Here is a 23,938-nt window from a genome sequence, read left to right on the forward strand (position 1 = left end):
TCCGGGAGGGAGGTGGGGGCCCGCCTCCGCCCGGCCGCCGCCCCGTCCGGGAGGTGGGGGGCGCCTCTGCCCGGCCGCCCCTTCTGGGAAGTGAGGAGCCCCTATACCCGGCCACCACCCCATCTGGGAGGTGTACCCAACAGCTCATTGAGAACGGGCCATGATGACAATGGCGGTTTTGTGGAATAGAAAAGGGGGAAAGGTGGGGAGAAGATAGAGAATTCAGATTGTTGCTGTGTCTGTGTAGAAAGAAGTAGACATGGGAGACTTCATTTTGTTCTGTACTAAGAAAAATTCTTCTGCCTTGGGATGCTGTTGATCTATGACCTTACCCCCAACCCTGTGCTCTCTGAAACATGTGCTGTGTCCACTCAGGGTTAAATGGATTAAGGGCGGTGCAACATGTGCTTTGTTAAACAGATGTTTGAAGGCAGCAGACTCGTTAAAGAGTCATCACCACTCCCTAATCTCAAGTACCCAGGGACACAAACACTGCGGAAGGCCGCAGGGTCCTCTGCCTAAGAAAACCAGAGACCTTTGTTCACTTGTTTGTCTGCTGACCTTCCCTCCAGTATTGTCCTATGACCCTGCCAAATCCCCCTCTGCGAGAAACACCCAAGAATGATCAATTAAAAAAAAAAAAAAAAAAAAAAGAAGTTTAGACACAACAGCTGACCAGCCTTAATGTTGAAACAGTGATCATAAGACAGACAGAATGGACTGTTTGTGGCAATAAGATACCAAATTATAAACAGGATCTAAGGTCATGCCAAGTAAGGATTGAGTTACACACTCCTGCACTTAAAGAATAAACTGTTTTACATCAAAAAAAAAAAAAAAAGAAATTCCAGAAGTAGTCAGTTTAGGACTCACGTGGTTTGCCGTGGTGTCACGTTTCCCCACTGTGTTCAGATTCTATTATTTTCCAAAGACACTTTAGGGTCTAAGAGAGCTACTAGCTTCAGCTTTTTCACATACATTGCAATCATCAGAAGGAGAAAGAGAAGGACACATCTCACTTCCTTTAAGGATACTTCCTGGAAGTTATATTACAGGTTGAGTATCCCTTATCAATATGCTTAGATCCAGAGAACGGTTTCACATTGTTTTCACATTTTGGAATGTTTGCATTACTCTGTGGATATCATGCAGGCCTTTTTGATACTTTCAACCATATCGTTATACTACAGAGCAGAGAATAAGCAAAAAAAAAAAAAAAAAAAAAGGAAGAAAGAGCATAGTGAGTAATAGTAAGGCAGTACATCTTAGCCCCATGTGAGGCATTGTGGGGAGCCTCCCATTGGTGTATCCAGCGTGTACACGTGTCATTTTATTACCCTTTGTGGGCATGCTTGTATGGAGGAATCTGGTGTGTGCAGATATATATTGCAGCTGATGGCAGCTGGGAGGGTCTTTCTTTCCTTGGGGACACTGAATAAACTATGTGTTGGGTACCTGCATTGTGACTGCAACCTGTCACATGAGATCAGGTTTGGAATTTTTTACTTGTGGCATCATGTTGACACTCAGAACATTTTAGATTTTGTAGCATTATAGATTTTGGATTAGGGAGTTCCGTGTATACTACTTTTGCTCATATTCCATTGGTCAAACTTAGCCACATAGCCACACCTTGCTGCTGGAGAGGCTGGGAAATGTAGACTTTATTTTGAATGGTCAGTGCCTGGCCGTTCAAATAAAGAGCAGGAACAGTGAGAATAATCCCAGTGTAGCTAGATGAAGAATACAGGGTAGATAACAGTTAATTGTCTTTAGGACAGTTTAATTCATTATTGATTATTCTTGATAGAGTTTTTATAATTACTGAACTATGAGTACAAATTCACTCTTGTCAAATTGCATCAACAGGATGTTGTTTTTAGGATGTAATCTCTTCATGAATCCTTGCTTAATTAGGATTATCAGTTTCTCATAAAGAAAAAAATATCCGTATATATACGTATGTATGTGTTTATGTGCATGTGTGTGTATACATCCCCCCATTTAACATTAGTGTTGGCCAAAATTATTTCATGTGACAACAGTGTGAAGTAAAACTGATGGTAAATAAGCTGCTGATAACCCTCTTCTGTTGTTTTAAGCCTGTAATTTTACCCAGTCTTCTATTTGGAAATACTCTCCAATTTGGTTGTTTTTTTGGCCAATGTTTTTAATCTGTCTCTGTCCTTTTATATTACTACTCTGTCTCACTGCTGTTAATTATACTTCCTAAAATAGATAAATGAGCAGATTTAATTAAATGTGTTATTTGCACTGTCTCCTGATCATTAATGAATTTGTAAGTAAGGTCAGACCTATAATCTTTCTAGTATTACAATTCCTGAATCTTTACTGTCTACTCAATTGGTAATTATTTGCTTAAATTTTTTTTATTTTTGAAGCTTCTATATTTTGTGTGTTTGTGCTCTTTCACTATTAGAAATATAAAGATCTTCTAACAAAAAGGAAACTTTTTCTGTAGGATGTTCTGTCCCTTTCGGTTGAAAATGTTTTCTTTAGACATGTTTTTGAATGATGAACAATTAAGTTTATATGTTGCTATTTGGCTTTTTAAAAATAATTTAAAATATTTTATCAATAGATGTAGAGTTTAAAATAAACATGTTTTAAAAAGTCCAATAGTGGAAAAAAAAAGGATTTATAACAAAATATAGTGAGTCATTTTTGTCCCACCACTCCCCACTCTCTCTAGTCCTCTCCCTAAAAGTAACTACTTTCAACTCCTTAAGCTATTTCTTCTGGCATCAACATATCTCTGTATTTAAAAATAATGTATGTACAATGCTATCTTTTGATTTACTGGTTTTTTTTTTTTCATTATATTTGGAGTTTCTATTATGGTAGAGAAAGTTTTAGTGTTATTAAATACCATCTCCACTGCTGCTTCTCCCTAGCTTCTTAATTTAGTTATATTAAAATATTTGGTTAAGTCTAATAGTTAATGTTATATTTACATTACTATGCCTGTGCAAATTTTATTTGCTGATAGTGTCTTAAATAGCCCCTCGGTGCAGTTTTCCACAAGGTCAATCACAGTAATCTGTCAGTTTGAATTTTTTTTTTTTTTTTAATTCTTGGAAATTTCTCTTCTAGAGACTTCCAGTGTCCTACTATTGAAGCCTGCACCTGCTGCATTGCTGTTTTCCTGGTATGATTTCCACTTGTTGTTATCCTTAGATTTTTCTCTCCTGGGTTTGGTTCTCCGAATATCGTTAGAACTCATATCTTCTTCAGACTTCATTTACCTCTTGCTTAGGTGGATCACATCCTCTAGTAGTTGTGTTGGATTCAAAAGATGGTACCATGCCAGAGAGCATGAGGATGACAGCCTTCAGCATGCCTGCCCTCTCACATAGCTTCAATCTGGATTGGTTGCCTTCTGCTGCTGGTGCACAGTTACCATCCTAGAGTCCCATTCGCTGGTATTCCTTCACTTCTCTCTTGTGTTGGATATCTTGTTTTCCATATCTCATCTCTTCTTTCCTTTGGTTTGTTTCCTTGTTTGTTGTCAAAGGATGATGAGACCATCACTATCTAAAATATCTAATGGGCACAATGTCCTGGAACAAAGCAAATTGCTAGTTTTATATAGTGTTTTGGGGGAGTGTGGTGCTCAGGGATTAGAAAATTTTAAGAGGCAGCAGAAGCAGATTAACATAATCTATAGAGGAATGATTACGTGGGTGAGACCGTTGTTGATTGGTTGGCACTTGGGTATTTTATGGTAGTGACTTTCTTCCTAACTTTAAATTGACTGACTTTCAGAAGTAAGGGGCTAAGCTAACACTGATTGGCTTGTAAAAGAAAAGTAAGTTGTTTTTACAATCGAATGGGTGTAAGTAGTCTTTGGTAACTTTTTACTATAGTTACAAACACTCAGTCTTTCCTAAATTTGTAAGAACTTTAAAATTCTCAATCTTCTAGTAACTTTCTAGGAAACCGTACATGGTAGATAATTTTTTGAGCCTTTCCATGTCTGAAAATATTTTTGGTTTCTATTTTCACATTTGATTAATATAGTTTGGGTAAGTGTAAATTCTAGATTGGAAATATTTTTCTTCAGAATTTTGAAGGCATAGTTTCTTTTTTCTCCTCATCCTTTGTTGCTTTTGAGAAGTCTTAAGCCAATGTGAACCCTCTTCTTTCATTTGGATCTTTTCACTGGAAACTTGTTAGATCTCTGCTTTGTCCCCAGTGTTCTGAAGTTTCACAGTGATGTGCTTTGGTGTGGGTCTGTGTTTATTTTTATCCACTGTCCTGGGTGCTTGTGGGTACCTTTCAGTATAGAACAGTTGGCATTTTTCTGGGACCTGGTGTATGGAATGGGGGTGGGGCGATAGATTTTAGGTTCAATATGCTTACTTAATCACCCAATTTTAAAGACCACTGCACTTCCAGTCAGCCCCTGATCCATAGATGGTCTATTCTGCATTTTAGAGATAATCCCAAACTTTCTTTCACAGAGGAGGAGGGGATCTCAGGATCGCTCCTTTCACCCAGTGCCCTCCCGGCATTTCACTTCCAGTTCCAGAGTTGGTATGGCCAGTCCCTGACTCTCATGAGGATTTCTGATGGTAAATTGGGTTGAGTGGCAGCTTTCTCTACTGCTGGTTTGGAATTTGGCTTTTTAAGTTCTGCTACACATTGAGCATTCATCAATATATAACTTCCAAAGCTTTGTTACTTTTTTTCTCTTCTCTGCTGTCTATCCTTGTGGATTTATGTTTTAAGACAAAACAAATTGACTTATTTCAGTAGAATTTTTGGAGAGAAGCAAAATTATATGTGTAGGTGTATTCCATTCTTTTAACACAAAAACAGCTATAAGACTAACTGGATATTCTTATGTGAAATAATATTACAATAGTATTACATGATTATTATACTTCTGATATGTGAAAGGTAGAGGAAGAGAATATGTTGCTGAAATGCAGTAACTAAGCATAGGTCTGCAGAGAGGGCACTGCTACAGAAAAGGAATAGTTATACCTTCCTTGATTGTGAGCTATTCCTTTAATTTCTAAAAATCATCATTGGAAAACCCACAAAAATGTTACGTCTGTATTGTAAGAAAACTAGAATACGCTGATAAACATGAGGAAGAAAATAAGAATCACTTTAATTACACTACCCAGAGCTGCCCACTATTAACAGATCAGTGTATATATTTTTCTAGTCTTTGTTTATGCATTTGCCTATGTATTTGTGGACGTATGTTTAAATGGGGCATACTATATGCATTATTTTGTTCCTTCCCCCATTTTTTCCAACCATAAATGGCTCTTGAGTCGAGAATTTTTTTGCACAGAATCCTAGAGATTATATTCTCATTAATAATATCTAACTCCCATTTACTTGATTGTACATTATGTGCCAGGCACTGTGCTGACTGACATCTTTGTTTTTCTGTTTAATTTATGTTGACATTATTTCAGACCACAGAAAAATTCCGAGAGTGGTACAGAGAGTTCACCCAAATACCCAAAATGTTAACATTTTACTGCATTCCCTTTCTTATTTCTCTCTCGTGAGAGTAAAATGTAGATCTTACTCCCTTTTATACCTAAATAGTTAAGTGTGCACTTTCTAAAAACAAGGACATTCTTGTATATAAGCCACAGTATAGTTGTTAAAATCAGGAAATTAACGTTGATTTAATATTAATTAAGTAACCTACAGACATTCAGATTTTACTCATTGGCCCATTGTACTTTATAGCAAAAGAAAATTCCAGGTCATGAGTGCACTCAGTTGTCATATCTCTAGTTTCCTTTAATCTGGTGCAGTTCCTGTTTTTTTCATGACATTGACTTTTTTTTTTTTTTGGAGATGGGGGTCTCACTGTTGCCCAGGCTGGAGTACAGTGGTGTGATCATGGCTCACTGCAGCCTTGAACTCCTGGGCTCAAGCAATCCTCCTGCCTGAGCCTCCTGAGTAGCTGGCACTACAGGCATGCACCACCACACCTGGCTAATTTCTTATTTTTTGTAGAGACAGATTCTCCCTGTGTTGCCCAGGCTGGTCTCAGACTCCTGGGCTCAAGTGATCCTCTTGCCTTGGCCTTCCAAAAAGTGTTGGGATTACAGGTGTGAGCCACTGCATCCAGCCAACATTGATATTTCCAAAGACTGCAAGACAGTTATTTTGTAGAACATGTGCAGTTTGGGTTCATCTGATGTTTTCTCATGGTTTAATTAAGGTTATTCATTTTTGGCAGGAATACCGCAAAGTATTGTTATGCTTTTACATCATATCAGGAGGCACAAGATGTTCAAATACTGGTAATATGATTTTGGATCACTTGATTGTTACTGTTTTTCCTTTTGTAATTTTTTTGTGGTAAAATATACATCATTTATTTTTATGTTTAACCATTTTTAAGTGTATAGCTTAGTGGCATTATATTCTCTTTCTATTCATAGTCACAGTCCCTTTGTAATTTTAAAGTATTTTGTGTAAAAATACGTAGATACTTGGTAAATATCCTGTCACTGTTTGAACTTTCACTCACTAATTTTAGTATCCATTTGTTGTAAACATCTTGTTACTCCTTGAACTTTTGCTCACTAATTTTAGTATCCATTGGTGATTTCTGCCTAATTTTCATAATGGTCCTTAATTGGTGATATTCTAATTCCATTATTCCTTCTACACTTATTTATAATAGTACTTTATTTATTTTGACACTGTCCCTGACTTGGCCAGTAGGAGCCCCTTCAGTTCTTTTGACATGCCCCTGTCATTCTTTGAGCATGTATTCTAGGCTCATCTTGCATGTTCCCAGCCCCAGCCTTGGAATAAGGAATTTCTTCTCAGAGCCCTGGTTCCTTTTAATAATGACTTTAAAAGCCACAGTCTGGACTCTAGATGTCCTGGTTGCAACTGTTATTGCTTCTAGGCCTTCTCAGCTGACATCTGGGAAATAGGTATATGTGAGAGGAGGAAATGTGTGTGTTTGTATGTGTGCACACACTAGTACATCTTTATTAAAAGCAGTGAGTTTATACAGATACCTCAGATTCTGACCCAACACTACAGGGTTTATTCTTTCCTTTCCTCATTCCTTATTTATAGCTCTGTTTTCCAACAATGAGAAACCTGGCCCTATTACTCATATTTTTGCTTATTGGTTCAACTCTAGAATATAAGAAAATAGTTTAAGAATTGTTAACTCATACCACCACTTAAAAGATACCTCGTAAGTAGAATTCAATGTTTGTTTATAGTGTTTTTCGTTTAGCCTAAGGGCAGGTAGTCTAAATCTGTGCTGTGTAATAATAGGGTAGCTACTAGCCACATGAATAGAGATGTGTTACAAGTGTAAAATGTACATTGGATTTGAAAACTTACTACAAAATAAATATGAGATATCTCACTGATATTTTAATAATAGTTTATGTTGATTATGTGTTGAAATATTTTAAGTGTATTAGATAAAATATATTAATAAAATTAATTTCACTTTAATGTGGCTACTAGAAAATATTAAATTACATATGTGGCTCCATTATATTTCTATTAGAATGTGCTGATATAAAAACCGTGTTCAAAAGTTACTTGGATTAATTTTCCTTCTCTAACATTCTTTCCCTTCTCCCTGGGGTTATGTTACTCATTTGAAATACAGTGTACTTCATTTATTTCTGTTTGTATTCTGTCTTTTTCACTTGATCCTAATTGATCTTATTTATTCTTCAGTATGTGAAACATCAACATGTTTCCAAAAGTCAGAACTCTACAAAAATGTTTATACTCAGGGCACTGTCACCCATTCCTTCTGTCCTTCACACTCTAACCTGACCTCTGTAGGTTACCAATCTCATGATTCCACCAGTTATCCTTCATGTGTTTTTCCCCCCTCAGGATTGAGGAGATAGATGCACATTTTCTAATTTGTCTTTCATTCTTACACAAAAGGTAGCATACTATAGATACTCTTTTGTACTCTTATGCTGTTTCTAATATTTTGAATTTACAAAAAGTGCTGCAACTTTGTCCATATGTATTTTGGTATGTTGGAGGTGTATTTTTGGGTAAATTTTCAAAATGGAATGGTTGGGCCAAAAGTTAAAAGCATATGTAGTTTTCTTAAATATTGCTAAATCCCTTTCTGCAGAGGTTGTACGAATTTGAATTCCCATCAGCAGGGTATGAGAGGGTTAGTTTCCCCACAACCTCATCATCAGAGTGTGTTGGCATACTTTTTAATTTTTGCTAACTTGATAGGTAAGAAATAGTATCTCAATATAGTTTTAATGTTTGTTTCTCTTGTTATTAGTGAAGTTGAACATCTTTTCATATGTTTAAGGGTCATTTTTATATCTTTTTGTGTGAAATATATCTTCATTTTTCCATCAGGTTTTTGGTCCCCTCCCCTTTCTCAGTTGTTAGGAGTTTTTAATATATTAGGAATATTAGCTCTTTACTGGTGATGTATGTTACAAATATTTTCTCCCAGTTTGTAGTGTTTGTGCGTAGGTATGAATGTTTAGACCTTTATGTAGTCCAGTTTTAGAGTTTTTTGTTTTATCTGAATTTTGGATTAAATTTAGAGGCTTTCCTTGGACCCATGGTAAATAACTCACCTGTGTTTTCTTCTAATACTTCTGTAGTTTTAGTTGTTAATTTGGATCCTTGATCCATTTGGAGGTACGGTTTCTTTAAAAATGAATAAAAAGACGAATTTTGCCCCAGTGTTCTTTGATATGCTACCTTTATCATATATGAAATTTCCATTTGGTTTACTTCTGGACTTTCTATTTCTGTGCCATTATCACACACTTTCAATTATAGAGGCTTAATAGTATATCAAGGGCTAGCTTTTAAAATTTTTAGTGTTTTCCTGACTATTCTTGCATGTCTGTTTTTCTGTTGAACTTTAGTATCAGCTTTTCTGTCTCAATGAAAAAGCTTGCAGGTGTTTTTATTGGGGTTATGTTAAATTTATAAATTAACATGGAAGACTGACTTTTTAATGCTGTTGTTTTGTGCTGAGATTTCTGTCCAAGAACAAAGAATATCTTTCCATTTGTTCAGATCTACTTTTGTGTCTTTCAGGAATGTTTTAAAGTTTTCTTCGTATTTAACTCCTCGATAAATTCTCCTTTTTTTTTTCAGCTCAATAATATGCCTTGTAGATCTTTCTTTTGTATGTCTGCATGATTTTCTACAGTGTGGATGTACCATAATTTATTTAACCTGGCTGATATTGGTGGACATTAAAGTTATTTAAAATTTTTCACTATTGTAAACAGTTCTGGAATAAGTAAATATCCTTGTAGAAGTCTAGTTACTTCCTTATGATAAATTTATCAAAGGAGAATTGCCTCATCAAAGGTCTTTTGACACATAAAAGTTTCTGAAACATATTGTTAACAGCTTTCCATATTAATAAAATGTATACCTCCACTAACACTGTGTTTGAGCCCTATTCTGTTGACATTCAGCAAAACAGAACCTTATTGCTCTTTTTTAATATTTGCCAGTTTGATAGCAAAACAAAATATGTTTATATTGCATTTCTTTGCTAACTGATGAGTTTTATTTTTTATCCATCTACCATTCAGCTGGCCAGCATATACTTACTGAGTATCCACCATGTTCTGTAAGCTATCCCATGTATTAAAACTGTAGTGATGACTAGAAGTTGAACATCTGTTCGTGTGTGTGTGTTTGTGTGTGTGTGTGTGTGTGTGTCTCTGTGTGTGTGTGTGTTTGAGATAGGATCTCATTCTGTCACCCAGGTTGGAGTGCAGTGGTGCCATCACAGCTTACTGCAGCCTCGACCTGCTGGGCTCAAGCAATGTTCCCACCTCAGCCTCTTGAGTAGCTGGGAGTACAGGTGCATGCTACCATGCTTGGCTGATTTCTATATTTTTTGTAGAGACGGAGTTTTGCCATGTTGTCCAGGCTGGTGTCGAAATCCTGAGCTCAAGTGGTCTGCCTGCCTCGGCTTCCCAAAGTGCTGGGATTACAGGTATGAGCCACCACGCCTGGCCTCTTTTTGTGATTTTTATTATTTTGTGTCTTATCTCTTTTTTTTGTTGACAGTCAGTAGACTTTCCTGTCCTCAGGTCTGAGAATGACAGAAGATGGCATTTCCTTATTCCATTTGGTTGATGAGCTTCTAAAAAGTGCTTTTGTATGTGTGTCTTCATTGCACATTCTATGGCAAATCACTGTGTTAAACTCTTAGATTTACAAAGTGAGACAATGAAAGTTAAGTGCCTAGACAGGTGTCAAAGAAATAACTGTGTATTTTTATAAAAATAACTTATTATTACTATTTTTCAGGTGAGGCTGCTGTCAGAAAGGAACTTTTACACAGTTTGCCTTCAGAGACAGTCTATCGGCATGTTGTAGAGTTTTATTACTAAGAAAATAAATGTTACTTACATGGTAAGTTGCCTTTACTTATGCATATTTTATAGAAATACTGTCTGTTTACTCTAAAGATTTGTTTGCTTGTATTTTGTTTCTTCAGTTATCATTTTATTTTGTAACTGTCATGTAAAACAAGTTTGAAAATGGCAGTTTCCTGAAAGGTATAGGGTCTTTTGAAGATTTTCTTACTTCTATTTACTATCTGTCTTAATTTTATTGTTTGTAGTAGAGAGGAGAACAGGGGCTGTTTAAATATTGGGATTCGTTTTCAAAGTTGGATCACTAGCTTTGCTCTGTCTCTTTCCACTGTAACAGCTGAGAGTTAACATCCTTCTTGTCAAGTCCTGGCTTCCCTGTAATTCATATAGTGAGCAGCAAAGATGCAGTGTTATTTTAAGGGTTTGATTAACTGATTCAGGAAGAATAGATGGTCATTTAAATAGTAAAGTATTATAAAACAGAATGAATAATGTTATTAAATAACTTAGAAATGAAAAAAGATAGCTGATTTTAACTTTTAAATATTACCCTATAAGTATTTGTTGTCAGTTAAAAAAATTTTTTTTTCAAGGAAGATTTAGTAAGTTGATATGACCTGCTGTTTTGTGAGAGGCTTTCTTACTCACATCTAATGATGATCTTTTGAGTATATTCCAGCTTCTGACTCTCCTGTGTAGCCAGTGACGATGGGCCAGCCGATGTGCAGGGTGATAGCTTTAGGGGTAACCAGAGGGTTGGTCACAGCAACCGTCAGAAGATAAATATACTCATGTGCTGCTGACGCACATTGCAAAAATTGGATGGAAACTATGACATGATAATGGTGATTTGCCGAATTTTCTCTTAAATAGTTTTGTGCAGCTAAACACAGTGAGAAATAAATGTTGATGTTGAGAGCTGAGTTCAAACAAATTAGTCTCAAATAGAATCCAGGGATGAGGAACTATAGGCACAGAAAAAAGAGAGGAACAAGATTATCCTTAGATTTGTTTTTTCTTAGTCTTCTTGCTTTTGTCAGCATCAGAATACTGTCTTAGGTATTTCTGGATGTTTTGCATGGCTCATGTGAGTAGAAGCATAGGATTTCATTGTGGATGACTGAAAAGGCCTACATCTCAGAGCAAATCAAAGTGAGTTTTAATCTTGGTTATTTGAAATCTCCTTGTACCTGTCTTATTAGGAGTATTATTTTTTTTTTTAAGAAGAAACTAATTTGCAGCTGGCTATAAAGAGTGACACTGTGTCTGGGAAAATGCTGTACTAACACACTGTGCTGTCCCACAAGAGTACTTCTCAAGTCCCCAGATGCAGTGCTGACAATCTGTGACAGCCTGTGAATTGTTGGGCAGCAGTTGGGGAAGATGGACAGCAGAGTGAGGTGGTTGTGTGTAAGTTAGAGGAGGTGGGGAGGGGAAGAAGTGAGAGAAGAGCAGAGCAGTTTCTAAGTTTTGTGGGCAATTTGAATGGAAGGTGTTTTAGTTGTTGGGTTCTGCTAATACAGCTGTGAAATAAACAGCTAGAAGGTGGGGTGGAAATAGTGTATTTCACCTTTCCTTTCAAGGTGTTATTGATTCTGTCATCAAAACTGTAAAGTTGCCTGGGCATGGCAGCTCACCCCCGTAATCCCAGCACTTTGGGAGGCCCAGGTGGGCAGATCACTTGAGGCCAGGAGTTCGAGACCAGCCTGGCCAACACAGGGAAACCCTGTCTCTACTATAAATATAAAATATTAGCTGGGCATGGTGGTGTACGCCTGTAATCCCAGCTATTCTGGAGGCTGAGACAAGCTATTCCTTGCTTGAGCCAGGCAGGCGGATGTTGCAGTGAGCTGAGATTGCGCCAGTGCACTTCCAGCCTGGGCGACAGAATGAGACTCTGTCTCAAAAAATCAAATAACAAAAAACCCTGTAAGGTTCTATGTTCTATTGATGAAAGTATGGGTTGGATGGAATTAAAACTTTTGAGGAGACTAGAAATACCACATCATACCAGGAAATGAAACTATAAAGGTAAGGGTAATGGGGATAGGGCTTATCTTTTCCAGGAATTATTATAGTAGTAGTAAGGCCAGTTACCATATTTAGATCCACAATGGCTAGGCCTTTATCTCAGACAAATGTACATCTTGTTATTTATTTATTGGATTGATTTGATACGTATGCTATCCGCTGTTACTGTTTTTATAGCAAGCATTGTCAGACATCAAAGACAAGAATTTCTGGATATTATTTGGATTGTGGAGTGGAATTTAATGTGGGCAAGTTATGGTTCAGTTCTTTCTTTCAGTATGAGAATAGTTATACAAAGTAAATAGCTTTGCTACAATGAACCTTTGGCTGTAGCCAGACTAATATTGGGGACTGAATGTTTGTGTTCCCCCTAAACTCATATGTTGAAATCTGGTCCCCAATGTGATGGTGTTGGAGGTGGGGCCTTTGGGATGTAATTTAGTCATGAAGGTGGAGCCCTCATGAATGACATGGCTTCCCCTATAGGAAGAAGCCAGGGACCAGGTGCGATGGCTCATGCCTGTAATCCCAGCACTTTGGGAGGCCAAGGCGGGTGGCTCACCTGAGGTCAGGAGTTCGAAACCAGCCTGACCAACATGGTGAAACCCCATCTCTACTAAATACAAAAAATTAGCTGGCCTGGTGGCACATGCCTGTAATCCCAGCTGCTTGGGAAGCTGAGGCAGGAGAATCACTTGAACCCGGAGGTGGAGGTTGCAGTGAGCTAGGACTGTACCATTGCACTGCAGTCTGGGCAGCAAGAGTGAAAACTCTGTCTCAAAAATCAAACAAACAAACCAAGAAGAAGCCAGGGAGCTAGCTTGCTCTGTTTCTGCTGTATGAGAATACAATGGGAAATCAACCTACTGCAACCTGGAAGAGGGCCTGCTCCGGAACCAGGCCATGCTGGCACCCTGATCTTGGACTTCTAGCTATTAGAATTGTGAGAAATTTTTGTTGTTTTTAAGCCACCCAGTCTGTGGTACTTTGTTATAGCAGCATGAACTAAGACAACCAGTTTCTGTAAGTCTCCAAAATAACACTCTGACTTTTTGCGTCTTCACATGTTGAGTCTATTCTTTCCACTTGTAATATCTCCCCTCAGTTCTGTGTCTGAACTTCTAAATCTGTTTCTAAAGGCCTAGCCTCAGTTCCACCCACTTTATGACATTTTCCTCACCCATTCCAAGCCCTTAGTGATATTTTTCTCCTCTGGTTTCTATCATTTACTGCTTTTCTCTTTATTTGGTAGTTAGAGACATATATTCCCTTAAAACAACATTAAAACAATCTTTCCAATTAGGTAGAGACATCTTAAGGGGAAGCTTCATTTTTACTCTCTCGGCTTACTGCAACTTCTGCCTCCCAGGTTCAAGCGATTCTCCTGCCTCAGCCTCCCGAGTAGCTGGGACTACAGGTGCGTGCCACCATGCCTGGCTAATTTTTTGTATTTTTAGTAGAAATGGGGTTTCACCGTGTTAGCCAGGATGGTCTCGATCTCCTGACCTCCTGATCTGCCCACCTCAGCCTCCCAAAGTGCTGGGATTACAGGCGTGAGCCACCGCGCCTGACCCCTACTTTATAATTTCTACTACCCCAGCAGTGATGTCAATACAATATGTGCACTTAATAAGTATTTGATGGTAAAAAAAAAATGCCATTGCCTATTGTTAGCTTTTACCCATCTTTAACAATTATCTTTCTCTTTGTATCATAAGAATACTAGATAAGAATTCAGTTTAAATACCTGAGCCATGTTCGTTCAGGACATGATTCTTCTTGAAAGCCTTCTGTAGCCCTGTGTACAGGCATTCTGTTCCTTAAAGTAACGTTGCTTTGAAGATTTTACTGTATTGTAATTATTTGTTATTCTTGGAACTCTAATGAATAAACTTTGAAACTGCATAGAAGAGAAACTCTTAAATTTATTAACTTGTTAATGTTTTCTTTGCCTGAAACTTGCTTTTGGTTTCTCAGTTTCTCACCAGGCACATTTCACACCTGCTGGTATAGCTCCAAGGAGGGAGGTGATAGATACGGAGCTGTAGCTATTTCTCTAACAGACAGACTCTACCTCATTTATAAGTATTCATTTTTGTTGTTACTGTGATTTGGTATTTTAAAAATTAAACTGTTCTGTGCTATGCATTTTTACAAACATACATACAAAATAAATAGCTTTGCTACAATGAACCTTTGGCTGTAGCCAGACTAGCATTCTGGGCTATGCATTTTTACCCCAACATAATTTTTAGAAGATATGTGTTTTAGTCTTACAGTAGTAGTTAGATGCAGGGACTTTGAAATCCAATCCACGGACTTTGAAATCCTATCCAGCACTTGGAAACTGTGTAATCTTAAGTAACTTAAGTTTCAGATTTTTCATCTGTAAAGTTGGGATAATAATAGCTACCTCTTAGTATTGTAGTTGGGATAAAATGAGATAACATATATGACACTTAGCTGAGATTGAGTCTGGTGGCTTCTACTTTCAAAATTTACCCAGTGGTTTATTAGCTTTACTCTGTGAATCTTAAAGAGGAAAAGAAATCAAGTTTAATGCATGTCAAGGTTGAGGTAAAGCCCCCAAAGCTTTATCCATTTGAGCTCCTTTATTGTCAACTATAGGATGTCAGTTAAACCCAGAATAGACCCAGGAGAGGAACTAATTTCAAATAACTGTAGAAGCAGACCAACCTCCAGATGTGTATTGAGGGAAAGAAGTTTTAAGAGGGAGTTTTTTTCTTCTCTCCCTGCCCCCTACCGCCAGTTACATATGCAGAGTAGGAAGCAAACTTTTCTCTCTACCTTTGTATTACATATTATATTGCCATTGTTCGGTATATTAAAGCTTTTATCTGACTGCCTTTTGAGGTGGTCAATAATAGGTGCTAACATTAAACTTGGAGCAGTTAAGTCGGTGAGCTGTGTGGTTACCTTGTCAGTGGAGTGTGAAAAAGACTAAGCTGCGGACTGTTTCCCAGCCTATAAAGCGTGAAATCAGTTGGTGCTGATGCATGACGACTATAGCCAGTGTAGTATAAAATAAGCTGGGGGCATGAATTGTGTTATGTCGTGAGAAAGACCTTTTCATGCCAGTTTATTTATATATTTTGGGACCTCCAAGATCCTACTGGAATCATGTATCTTGTATCTTTTGTTGTCTTGATACTCAGTTTTTTCATGAAATGTTTCTTCCAGTTGTGCAAGCTGTATTCTTTGTCCAGCTGCAGGCAGAGAGGCAGAGGCAGTAAATATAAATGTCCAAGGCAGAGGCAGACTAATATTAAAATACTGTATTATATTCTGTTTAAGATTGCATCTGAAAATACCATCTGCAGTTGGTATTTGATGTACAGGTTTCTTCTGTTTTAGACCCAAGATTTGAACGTATACTCTACATTCTACTTTGAGCTTCTGCCAGGGTGAGAACTGTGTTACCAGTTTCACTGGTTGGTGGTCCCATGTTGAAATGTGCCTCTGGAGAAGGAAAGTAGAGAAGGGCAGCATTTTCAAATGCTTGGAGGAGTTGGTAGGAAGAAGTATAGAGATTATTCTTATGCGGAATAGAAGAGAGGGTGTTCCTCTCCTGACACCTGGTGAGGTTCTTTACCATATGGCTTTTGAGGGTGAGGCAAGGTGAATGAGGAAGTTTCAGAGACAACAGTGAATTATTGTCAGCCTTTTTAAGTCTGGAAGGTTATTGGAAATAGGCATGCCATGAAAGCATTAAAGATCTTTCATTCTTATCTTACTTGGTTTTCTCCTTTTACGGCAGCAGTCTTTGAACTCTTTTTGGTTGTTTTGCAGTTACATGGATTCTAAGCAAATTGTGAATATTTATGAAACTAATGCATCATTGTGAGACCATTCTGCTGAATATCAGGCAGTCTAGTCTAGTAGTTAAGTGCAGGGACTTTGAAATCCTAACCAACACTTAGAAGTTGTGTGATCTTTAGTTATTTAAGCTTCAGATTTCTCCTATATAAAATTGGGATAATCATAGCTATCTCTTAGTACTATAGTTGGAACCAAATGAGATAATGTATATACAATGTTTACCACAGTCCCTGTCATGTAGTAAGCACTCTGTAAATGGTAGCTGATTATTCTTCTTTCTCTTCCTCTACTACTACTAAATCACTGCTCTACCACTACTTCACTTTTGCTTGTAGGGCCTAAACTGTAATGAAACAGAAAACACAATTAGACATGGTTCATCGCGGCAGATTTTGAAAAATATGTCATTGTTCTCTTGGGCATGGCTTAATAGTTCTTTCTTAACTAAGTAGAAACTATAAAAAGACTTTTTAAAATGAAAGATAAGAATCTTTGTCTTGGTTTAAGATAGCTTTGCAAATGAGTGTACAAAACTAGTTATTCTAAAATGTATTTGCTTAATGCAAATAAATCAGCCTTTATATGAGCTTAGGGAATATGTAAAACTAACAGCTCGAAGAATTGTCATTCCTTATTACTCACCTAACACAACCTTTTTTTTTTTTTTTTTTTGGAGTGAGTGCTTTTTTTTGGGAATTGTTTGAAGTTTTTTTCTTGTGCCAAGAATAGTCACAGTAGAAGTCTTGTCCAGTGTATGAGGCACATTTTTGGGGGAATGGGATGGAAAAATCACCCTGATCATTTATCCTTAATGGTAATGAGTATTAGTGTGGATAATATATTTGGATTTGATGTGCATTATGTGATTATTTCTTCAGCACAATTAACTTCCTGATTAAACTTTGCTCAGCATATATTGTGAGCATATACTCGGTGGAAAACTGATAATACTGCTATAATGGTGGTAAAACTGCTAGTTTAGTTGATAGACAATCTGGGTTCTGGTCTTAGTTACTACCACTCTAATAGTCTTAGATAAATCCCTCAACCAGATGATTTTCAAAGGCTCTTTTCAGCTATAAGCTTTTTGTTGGTTTGTTTTGAGACTGGGTCTTGCTCTGTCACCCAGGCTGGAGTACAGTGTCACAATCATAGTTCACTGCACCCTCAAATTCATGGGCTCAAGCAGTCTCCCTCCCTCTCAGCCTTCCAAGTAGTGAGGGTTACAGGTATGTGCTACCGTTCCCAGCTAATTTTTTATCTTGTTTTAATTTTTTAGAGACAGAGTCTTGCTAAGTTGCCCAGGCTGGTCTTGAACTCCTGGCCTCAGGCAGTACTCCCACCTCGGCTTCCCAGAGTGCTGGGATTGCCTGCGTGAGCCACTGTGCCTGGCTTCAGCTATAAGATTTGAAGATAGGTATGCAGGTGGCTTAGAAACTGGGAAATGTAGTAGTGACACATTTTGGCCACCAGAGGGTGAAGTCCAGTCATTGAAGTTGTGCTCTGTATTTGACCAGAATGTGGCATTCTTGGAAATGAAGAGGACACATTGACCCTCTGTTCATTTAGGTTAAGTCATAGAGCCTCTTGCTCTCTGATTCTGCTTTCACTTATTATCTTTCTAAAACTTTCTGGGTAGGGCTGGGGCAGATACTAAAGAAAGGAGAAGAAAGGAATAGAGGTATCTAATTGTCAGCTATTCATCCAATTTTGTTCTGTAAGATAGTGAATAGCTTTCAGATGACCTATGGGCAACCTTGATGGGAAGCACAATAGTATATAGGTCACCACACTTAATTATTTGTGGCCACCTTCCTTCCCCAAAACACATAGGCATGCACACAACACTTAACCCTCATTGCCTTCACTCTCTCTGAAATTCCAAGGATGAAAACAGAATGTCTGAGAAATATAGTAGCGTGAGCACAGCCCTTATAATTGTAACCAAGGTTCCAGTCTTGCATTGCCACTTAATATCTGTGTAACCACAGACATTACAATTTTGAATTCTCAGTATCTTTATCTGAAAAACTAGGATGTTGAATTCTGACCTATACAATCCCTTTCGGTAAGTCTAATTCCAAGGCTCTGTAAAAATTCTTTAATGTTTATTTGAAGGGCAGTGCTATTCTTAATACAACACTTTAATAAAGTAGTATCTTTAAACAATAGCATGTTCTTTTTTGATAGAAACAGAGCTCTAGATGTTGTTAAGGCATAGATATTAAAGAAGTAAACTATCATGACATCAAATAGAAAGACAGTTACTGCTCCACCGTGGCATTTTTTTGGCCCCATAAACAAATACAAACTAATTCTCTGTGAATATAGGCTCAGGATAGCAGTGGTTCAATCAAGAGGGGCCAAGACTAGGAGGAGCCAGGCCAAGCTGATTTCGGGTATAGTTAATAGTGAAACATTATGAGAAGAAGTCATTTGGGGATAAGTAAGCTTAGCAAAAGAGAGCATGTAGGTTCTGGGAACCTATGTCATGAAGCTGGAGTCAGAATCCATTTCTTCCAGCCACACCAGTGGAAATAACTTTGACACAACATTCGATTATACAAGTCCAAGTTGCTGTCTGAGAGCTCAGGATGATAAGATGGAAGGAACAAGGAAAGGCACGGTAGACAAGCTGAGATGAGTGTCTAGAATGTGATAGAGCAAATGGACTCAGAAGTGTGCTTGTGAAAGCAGGCAAGGATTAGTACTTACTATTATGTTTAATATGTATGCAAGAGAGTAGAAGCCAGTCAGGCTGACTGGGTAGAAACAACATTTTAGGATTATGTTCAAAAGATAATTTTAATCTGTCCTAGTTTTAATCGCTATCCTTGGTGTTGGTAGAAAAGGTCTATTTGGTATGTCTAAGGCTCTACACATGTTTGAGGCTAGTGATTATATCACTGACAAACTCTAGGTTGTTTGATGATTCTAATAGCTTTACACTCCACGGGATATACACGTATTCACAGATCCGCTCACTACTGCTGCAGAGTTCATTTCACAGAAATGAACTGGCTAGTAAAAAATTTGGCAGGCAAACTAGCTTTTCAAGTAGCTGCTAGGAATGGAGCCCAGCTATTCCCTTTGGGCTTGAGCTGTTGGAATTCATTGGGTTAGCAGCTAGAAAGAATGAAACTGTAACATTTTTAGCGTGGTTCATGACAGCAAAGCTGAGGTGTTAGGATTTCTGTTCTAGAGGTTTACACTGCAAGTAACTTAACTTGATTGTGTGTCTTAATATTACTGGGCTTCTGACCGCTGAAATATGGCTTGGATCGATGGTGGTTTGGAGAAAGTAGAAAGAGGGCTATCCATCATCTGGAGGCTCCATAGAAGCTGGCTGATAATGCTGCTTTCACCAGGCAGCCATCTGTCCATCCATCCATCAGTAGGATGAAATGAGATTTAGCGGAACAGGCAGCCGTAACTCTGAAATACTTTCTAACCAACAATTGCAGCCCTGGCCTGAGTCTGACCACAAAGCACAGCACTGGGGTTTGGCGGGATGTGGCAGCAAGTGCAGTCTCCTTCCCGTCACTGCCAGCCTAGTATGTATTCAGTATGAGGCTGTAGCCCAAGCTTACTTCCCATACAAAATTTGACTAAACTTGGGATGACAAGTAGACAGAAATAGTCTTTCAGCTCCAGACTAAAAATTTTACAAGTTGAGCAGACCCTTTCGGTGGGGAATTTTTTTGCTTAACACTCTGGGTACTTACAGTAATTCTGTCATTGTGGTACTTAGGGATGAGGTAAAGGTAATTTACTGATTTCATTTTATATAAATTCTTGTTTTTCTTAAATCAAAATTTTTACCTAGATTGTTAGGTTGCAGAAATGGAATTTTCATTCTCTTATTTCTTTCTTCTCTCTTTGGTGGTGCTAATATGAAAGGAAAGAAAATGTAGATGGGGAAATGGGTAAAAAATTCGAAGCAAGAAAATGGATGATCCCTAAAATGGACAGTTAGGCTCTGAATAATTGGTTGTGTACCATGTCTTCCTGGTTCTTTTGCAGGAACATTGAGCCTTCTGAGAGAGCCTCTTAGTGTAGCTCTGTGCTCATGTTGCCTGTCCTGGTACCATCCCTAGCCATAGCCAGCTTCCTTGACTGCTTTCTCTCACTGATCACTTTAGACCTCAGCTCCTGCTCTTTGTTCTGAAACCTTGCTTTTCACTTCAGACTGGGGGAGGGGTAGAGGGAGCCTAATGTACCGGAGATGCTTCGGAAATGAGAGCCTTGGATGAATTCCTGGGCCTATTGATCCACCGGCAGTTTATGCATCCTGACATTCATAATCTCAGTAGGCTGCTGATGTTCCTGATTAATGGGCCCAGGGGCTGTCCATCCGTCACTTCGCATTAATTACTGAAGAGGTGTTTTTCCAGTGATTTACCTGACAGCGGGCTGTGATAAATACCCCTAAGCAGAGTGGGCAGTGATTAATCACAGGGCCACACCCCTCCCCCTACTCTTTTTTCCCCCTAACCACAGGTTAGCATTGGGACCTGACCAAATAGTGCCCCCTCCCCATAAGCTATCTATCTCCATAATTGCTTGTGGATGCATATTTATTGGGGCATGGGGCCTGGCAGATAGCATTCTAGAACTTGTGCCAAAGATGATGAAAAATAAATCTTCCCAATAGGAAGAGTATCTAACGTGTTTTTACATGGGGCAGAGAAGTGTCTGTGAGCTGCGTGTATGTTGCTTTTTAAGAAATCTGATAGGAATATTGCCCACCTGCTATGCCTGCACTCAATACTGTAATGGTTGCTTTTTGAGCTTTAAAAAGAGGAGATAGAACAACTTTTATGTTTGCTATACTTGTAGTATATTCAGGGAGAATATGTGAACAAATATGAGAAATTAGAGAACATTTCAAAGTACTAATACAATCTTGGGAGAATTGGACTAGAACTTCAGGATTCCATTTCTTACTCTGTGGCCTTAGAAAGTGAAATTTAGTTAACTATTTAAGTGTTTTAATGTTTTTCATGTGTCGGGCATTGTATTCAGCTCTGGAGATACGAAGATGAATTGGGCTGAGATCTCAGGGAACAAATTCTAGTGCCCGTTGCCTCCGTTTCTCAAAGTACAAAATAAACTTCCAGGAAGTTATTGAATTAATTTAAAATTAGTATAAGATCTAAAGTAATTTAAAATCAGTTCTTACATTAATTTTTCTGTGAATATTTATTGTATTCCCAGGGATAAAAGCAGCATATGAAAGATACTATCTGCCCTCAAGAAACTTGTAGAGTGTGAGATGGCATTCATAAATGAAACAGTTGAATAAGAATATAAAGGAGTATATAATGAGAGTGATATAACAACAATGAGATGTCTCAGTTTAAACACAACTCATTTAGGAGGGCGTTAGACATTATCAAGGAGGGCATTTCAGAAGTTGGAAGGAGCAGACAATGAGGCCATCCTGCCCAGAATGGAGACTTTGTGTCTGAGAATGATAGAAGTATTATTGAAATTGTAGATTGACACCAAATCATGGAAAATCTTAAATGCAAGGTAAGCCTAGTTTATATATTGTATGCTCTGGTGAATCTAAGGTTTTGAGTGAGAAAGTCTAGAAAAAAATGTATTTTAGAAAAAATTCTTACATATTGATGTTCGTAATGTTATTTGGAATTGCCAGATTACCTTGGCATTCTCGGAGCCCTCTTTTCCTCTGTAGTTCAAAATAAAACCGTTCAAATTAAAAATATAGTTTTCTGTATCTACCCGAGTGCAGTGCAAAGGATTGTGTAGTTCGGTTATATATGGAAGAGATGATAGAGTTGACAGTCAAAGGAGACCAAGTTTCTCATCGTTAACGCGTGCAAAGTTGAGTAAGTCAATGAAGTTTTAAGTAATGACTGCAGAATTAAATTGGGAAAGACTATGGCCTCAAGATTTAAGAAAGAAACCGTCAGTCTTACAGATAACTTCATTAAGGCTATACTGATTATTTCCTGGCTACTAGACAGGCATATTTTAAAGCCAAGAATCAGAAATTAAAGGGTCAGTGCTGTCAGCTGTATTTTAGCAGGAATTTTAAAGAGATGTCATTTTTTTCATTAAAAAACTTAAGATTATATATGGCAAACTTCACGTTTCATAGAGTACATTTTGTGAATTTTGACAAACATGCAGTTGTGTAACTCCCACACAATTAAAATGCAGAGAGAGCAGTTCCATCCATCCAAAAAATTCCCTTGTCACTTTATAGTCAGCCCCTTACCTGACCCCAAGCTTCTGGCAACCAGTGGTATGTTTTCTGTCTCTACAGTTTTGTATTTTCCAGGATGTTGTGTAACTGGAATTGTATTTCTCTAATGATAAATGATTTTGAGCATCTTTTTTGCCATCCTTATATCTTCTTTGGTGAAGTATTCTTAAATTATTTTGTTGTTTTTTTGACACTGAGTTTTGAGATTCTGGATGAAAGTTATCAGATGTGATTTGCAAATATTTTCTTGTGGTTTGTGGCTTTTTAAAATTCTCTTACATGTCTTTGAAGAGCAGAAGTTTGAATTTTGATAAAGTCGAGTTTATTGATTTAAAAATTATTTTATTTTATGGGTCATGCTTTTGATGTTGTATCTAAGAAACCTTTGCTAAACCAAAAATCACAAAGATTTTGTTCTATATTTATTTATAGAAGTGTTAAAATTGTAGGTTTACATTTAGATCTGTGATTCATTTTGTTAGTTTTTATATGTGGTGTGAGGTATGGATACAGTTTTTGTTGCAAATGAATTTCCACTTGTTTCGGCACCATTTTTTGGAAAGACTCTCTTTTTTCATAGAATTTCCTTTATACATTTCTTGAAAATCAGTTGTTCATATATGTGTGAGTCTTCTTCTGGACTCTTACTGCGTTTCATACATCTAAATGTTTACCCTTTCTCCAATGTGACACTTACCTGAGATTATTGTAGCTTTATAGTAAACTTGAAATCAGGTAGTGTGAGTTCTCCATCTTCATCCCTTTTCAAAGTTACTTTGGCGATTCCAGTTCCTATGCCTCTTCATATCCATTTTAAAATCAGCTTCTTAATTTCTGTAGAAAGTCCTTCTGGATTCTGATTTAATTCTAAAGATCATTTTGGGGAGAATTGATATCTTAAATATTGAGGCATCTCATTTATGATCTTTCTTTCGATTTTTGATGTCTTATCAATGTATTTTAGTTTTCAGCATAGATTGTACACATACTCTGTTAGATTTATGCCTAAGCATTTCATGTTTTTGAGTGCTGATGTAAATGATACTCTTCGATTTTCAGTTTTTTTCATTGATAGAATATAGAACTGCTTGTATCCTCATAACCTTGCTAAACTTACTTAGTTCTGGTAGCTTTCTTAGAGATTCTATGGGATTTCTATGCAGAAGATTATGTCATCTGCAGATAAAGACAGTATTACTTCTTTCTTCCAATTTGGATGTCTTTTATATTTTTTTCTGCCTTGCTGCACTGGCTAAAACCTCCATTTTAATGTCAAATAGAAGTGACAAGTGTGGTCATCTTTACTTTATTTTTGCATCTTACGGGGAGAGCATTTGGTTCTTCATCAAGTATAATATAAACTATAGGTTTTTATTGCTCTGCTTTTTTTTTGTAGATAACATTTATCAGGATGAGGAAGTTCTCCTATTCCTAGTTTACTGGATGGATG

At 37.5% G+C, this 23,938-nt stretch overlaps 1 protein-coding gene across 49 annotated transcripts in view, besides 4 other annotated features; it reads left to right on the forward strand.

Moving 5' to 3' along the window:
* The window catches only part of R3HCC1L (R3H domain and coiled-coil containing 1 like), a 110,241-nt gene that overhangs the window by 18,322 nt on the left and 67,981 nt on the right, over positions 1-23,938 (forward strand). For 12 of the 49 annotated variants that reach the window (XR_007061959.1, XM_047425065.1, XM_047425071.1 and 9 more), the window contains exons 2-4: positions 3,115-3,169; positions 9,905-9,997; positions 10,315-10,419. The exons of 2 other annotated variants lie outside the window; for them this stretch is intronic. Coding sequence is in view for 1 of the 47 variants with exons in the window: in NM_001256621.2 (NP_001243550.2) it covers positions 10,417-10,419 (3 nt within the window). In the remaining 46 variants the exon portion in view is untranslated. Of the gene's footprint in view, positions 1-3,114; positions 3,170-4,484; positions 4,596-6,238; positions 6,303-9,904; positions 9,998-10,314; positions 10,420-21,470; positions 21,789-23,938 lie in introns of all 49 variants that reach the window. 35 more of the 49 variants (XM_017016081.2, XM_011539645.3, NM_001351012.2 and 32 more) reach the window with 8 other exon arrangements.
* Positions 191-942: an enhancer, noted in NCBI's record as "OCT4-NANOG-H3K27ac hESC enhancer chr10:99912926-99913677 (GRCh37/hg19 assembly coordinates)". NCBI's record gives its function as "activates a minimal SCP1, AML or CMV promoter by ChIP-STARR-seq in naive H9 embryonic stem cells {active_cell/tissue: H9 hESC(naive)}" and the evidence as "EXISTENCE:reporter gene assay evidence [ECO:0000049][PMID:30033119]".
* Positions 943-1,693: an enhancer, noted in NCBI's record as "H3K27ac hESC enhancer chr10:99913678-99914428 (GRCh37/hg19 assembly coordinates)". NCBI's record gives its function as "activates a minimal SCP1, AML or CMV promoter by ChIP-STARR-seq in naive H9 embryonic stem cells {active_cell/tissue: H9 hESC(naive)}" and the evidence as "EXISTENCE:reporter gene assay evidence [ECO:0000049][PMID:30033119]".
* Positions 17,624-17,673: an enhancer, noted in NCBI's record as "active region_3863". NCBI's record gives its function as "activates an Ori minimal core promoter by ATAC-STARR-seq in GM12878 lymphoblastoid cells {active_cell/tissue: GM12878}" and the evidence as "EXISTENCE:reporter gene assay evidence [ECO:0000049][PMID:35858748]".
* Positions 20,289-20,790: an enhancer, noted in NCBI's record as "NANOG hESC enhancer chr10:99933024-99933525 (GRCh37/hg19 assembly coordinates)". NCBI's record gives its function as "activates a minimal SCP1, AML or CMV promoter by ChIP-STARR-seq in primed H9 embryonic stem cells {active_cell/tissue: H9 hESC(primed)}" and the evidence as "EXISTENCE:reporter gene assay evidence [ECO:0000049][PMID:30033119]".

This window comes from Homo sapiens, chromosome 10, assembly GCF_000001405.40.
Source record: "Homo sapiens chromosome 10, GRCh38.p14 Primary Assembly".
Classification (NCBI taxonomy): Eukaryota; Metazoa; Chordata; class Mammalia; order Primates; family Hominidae; genus Homo; species Homo sapiens.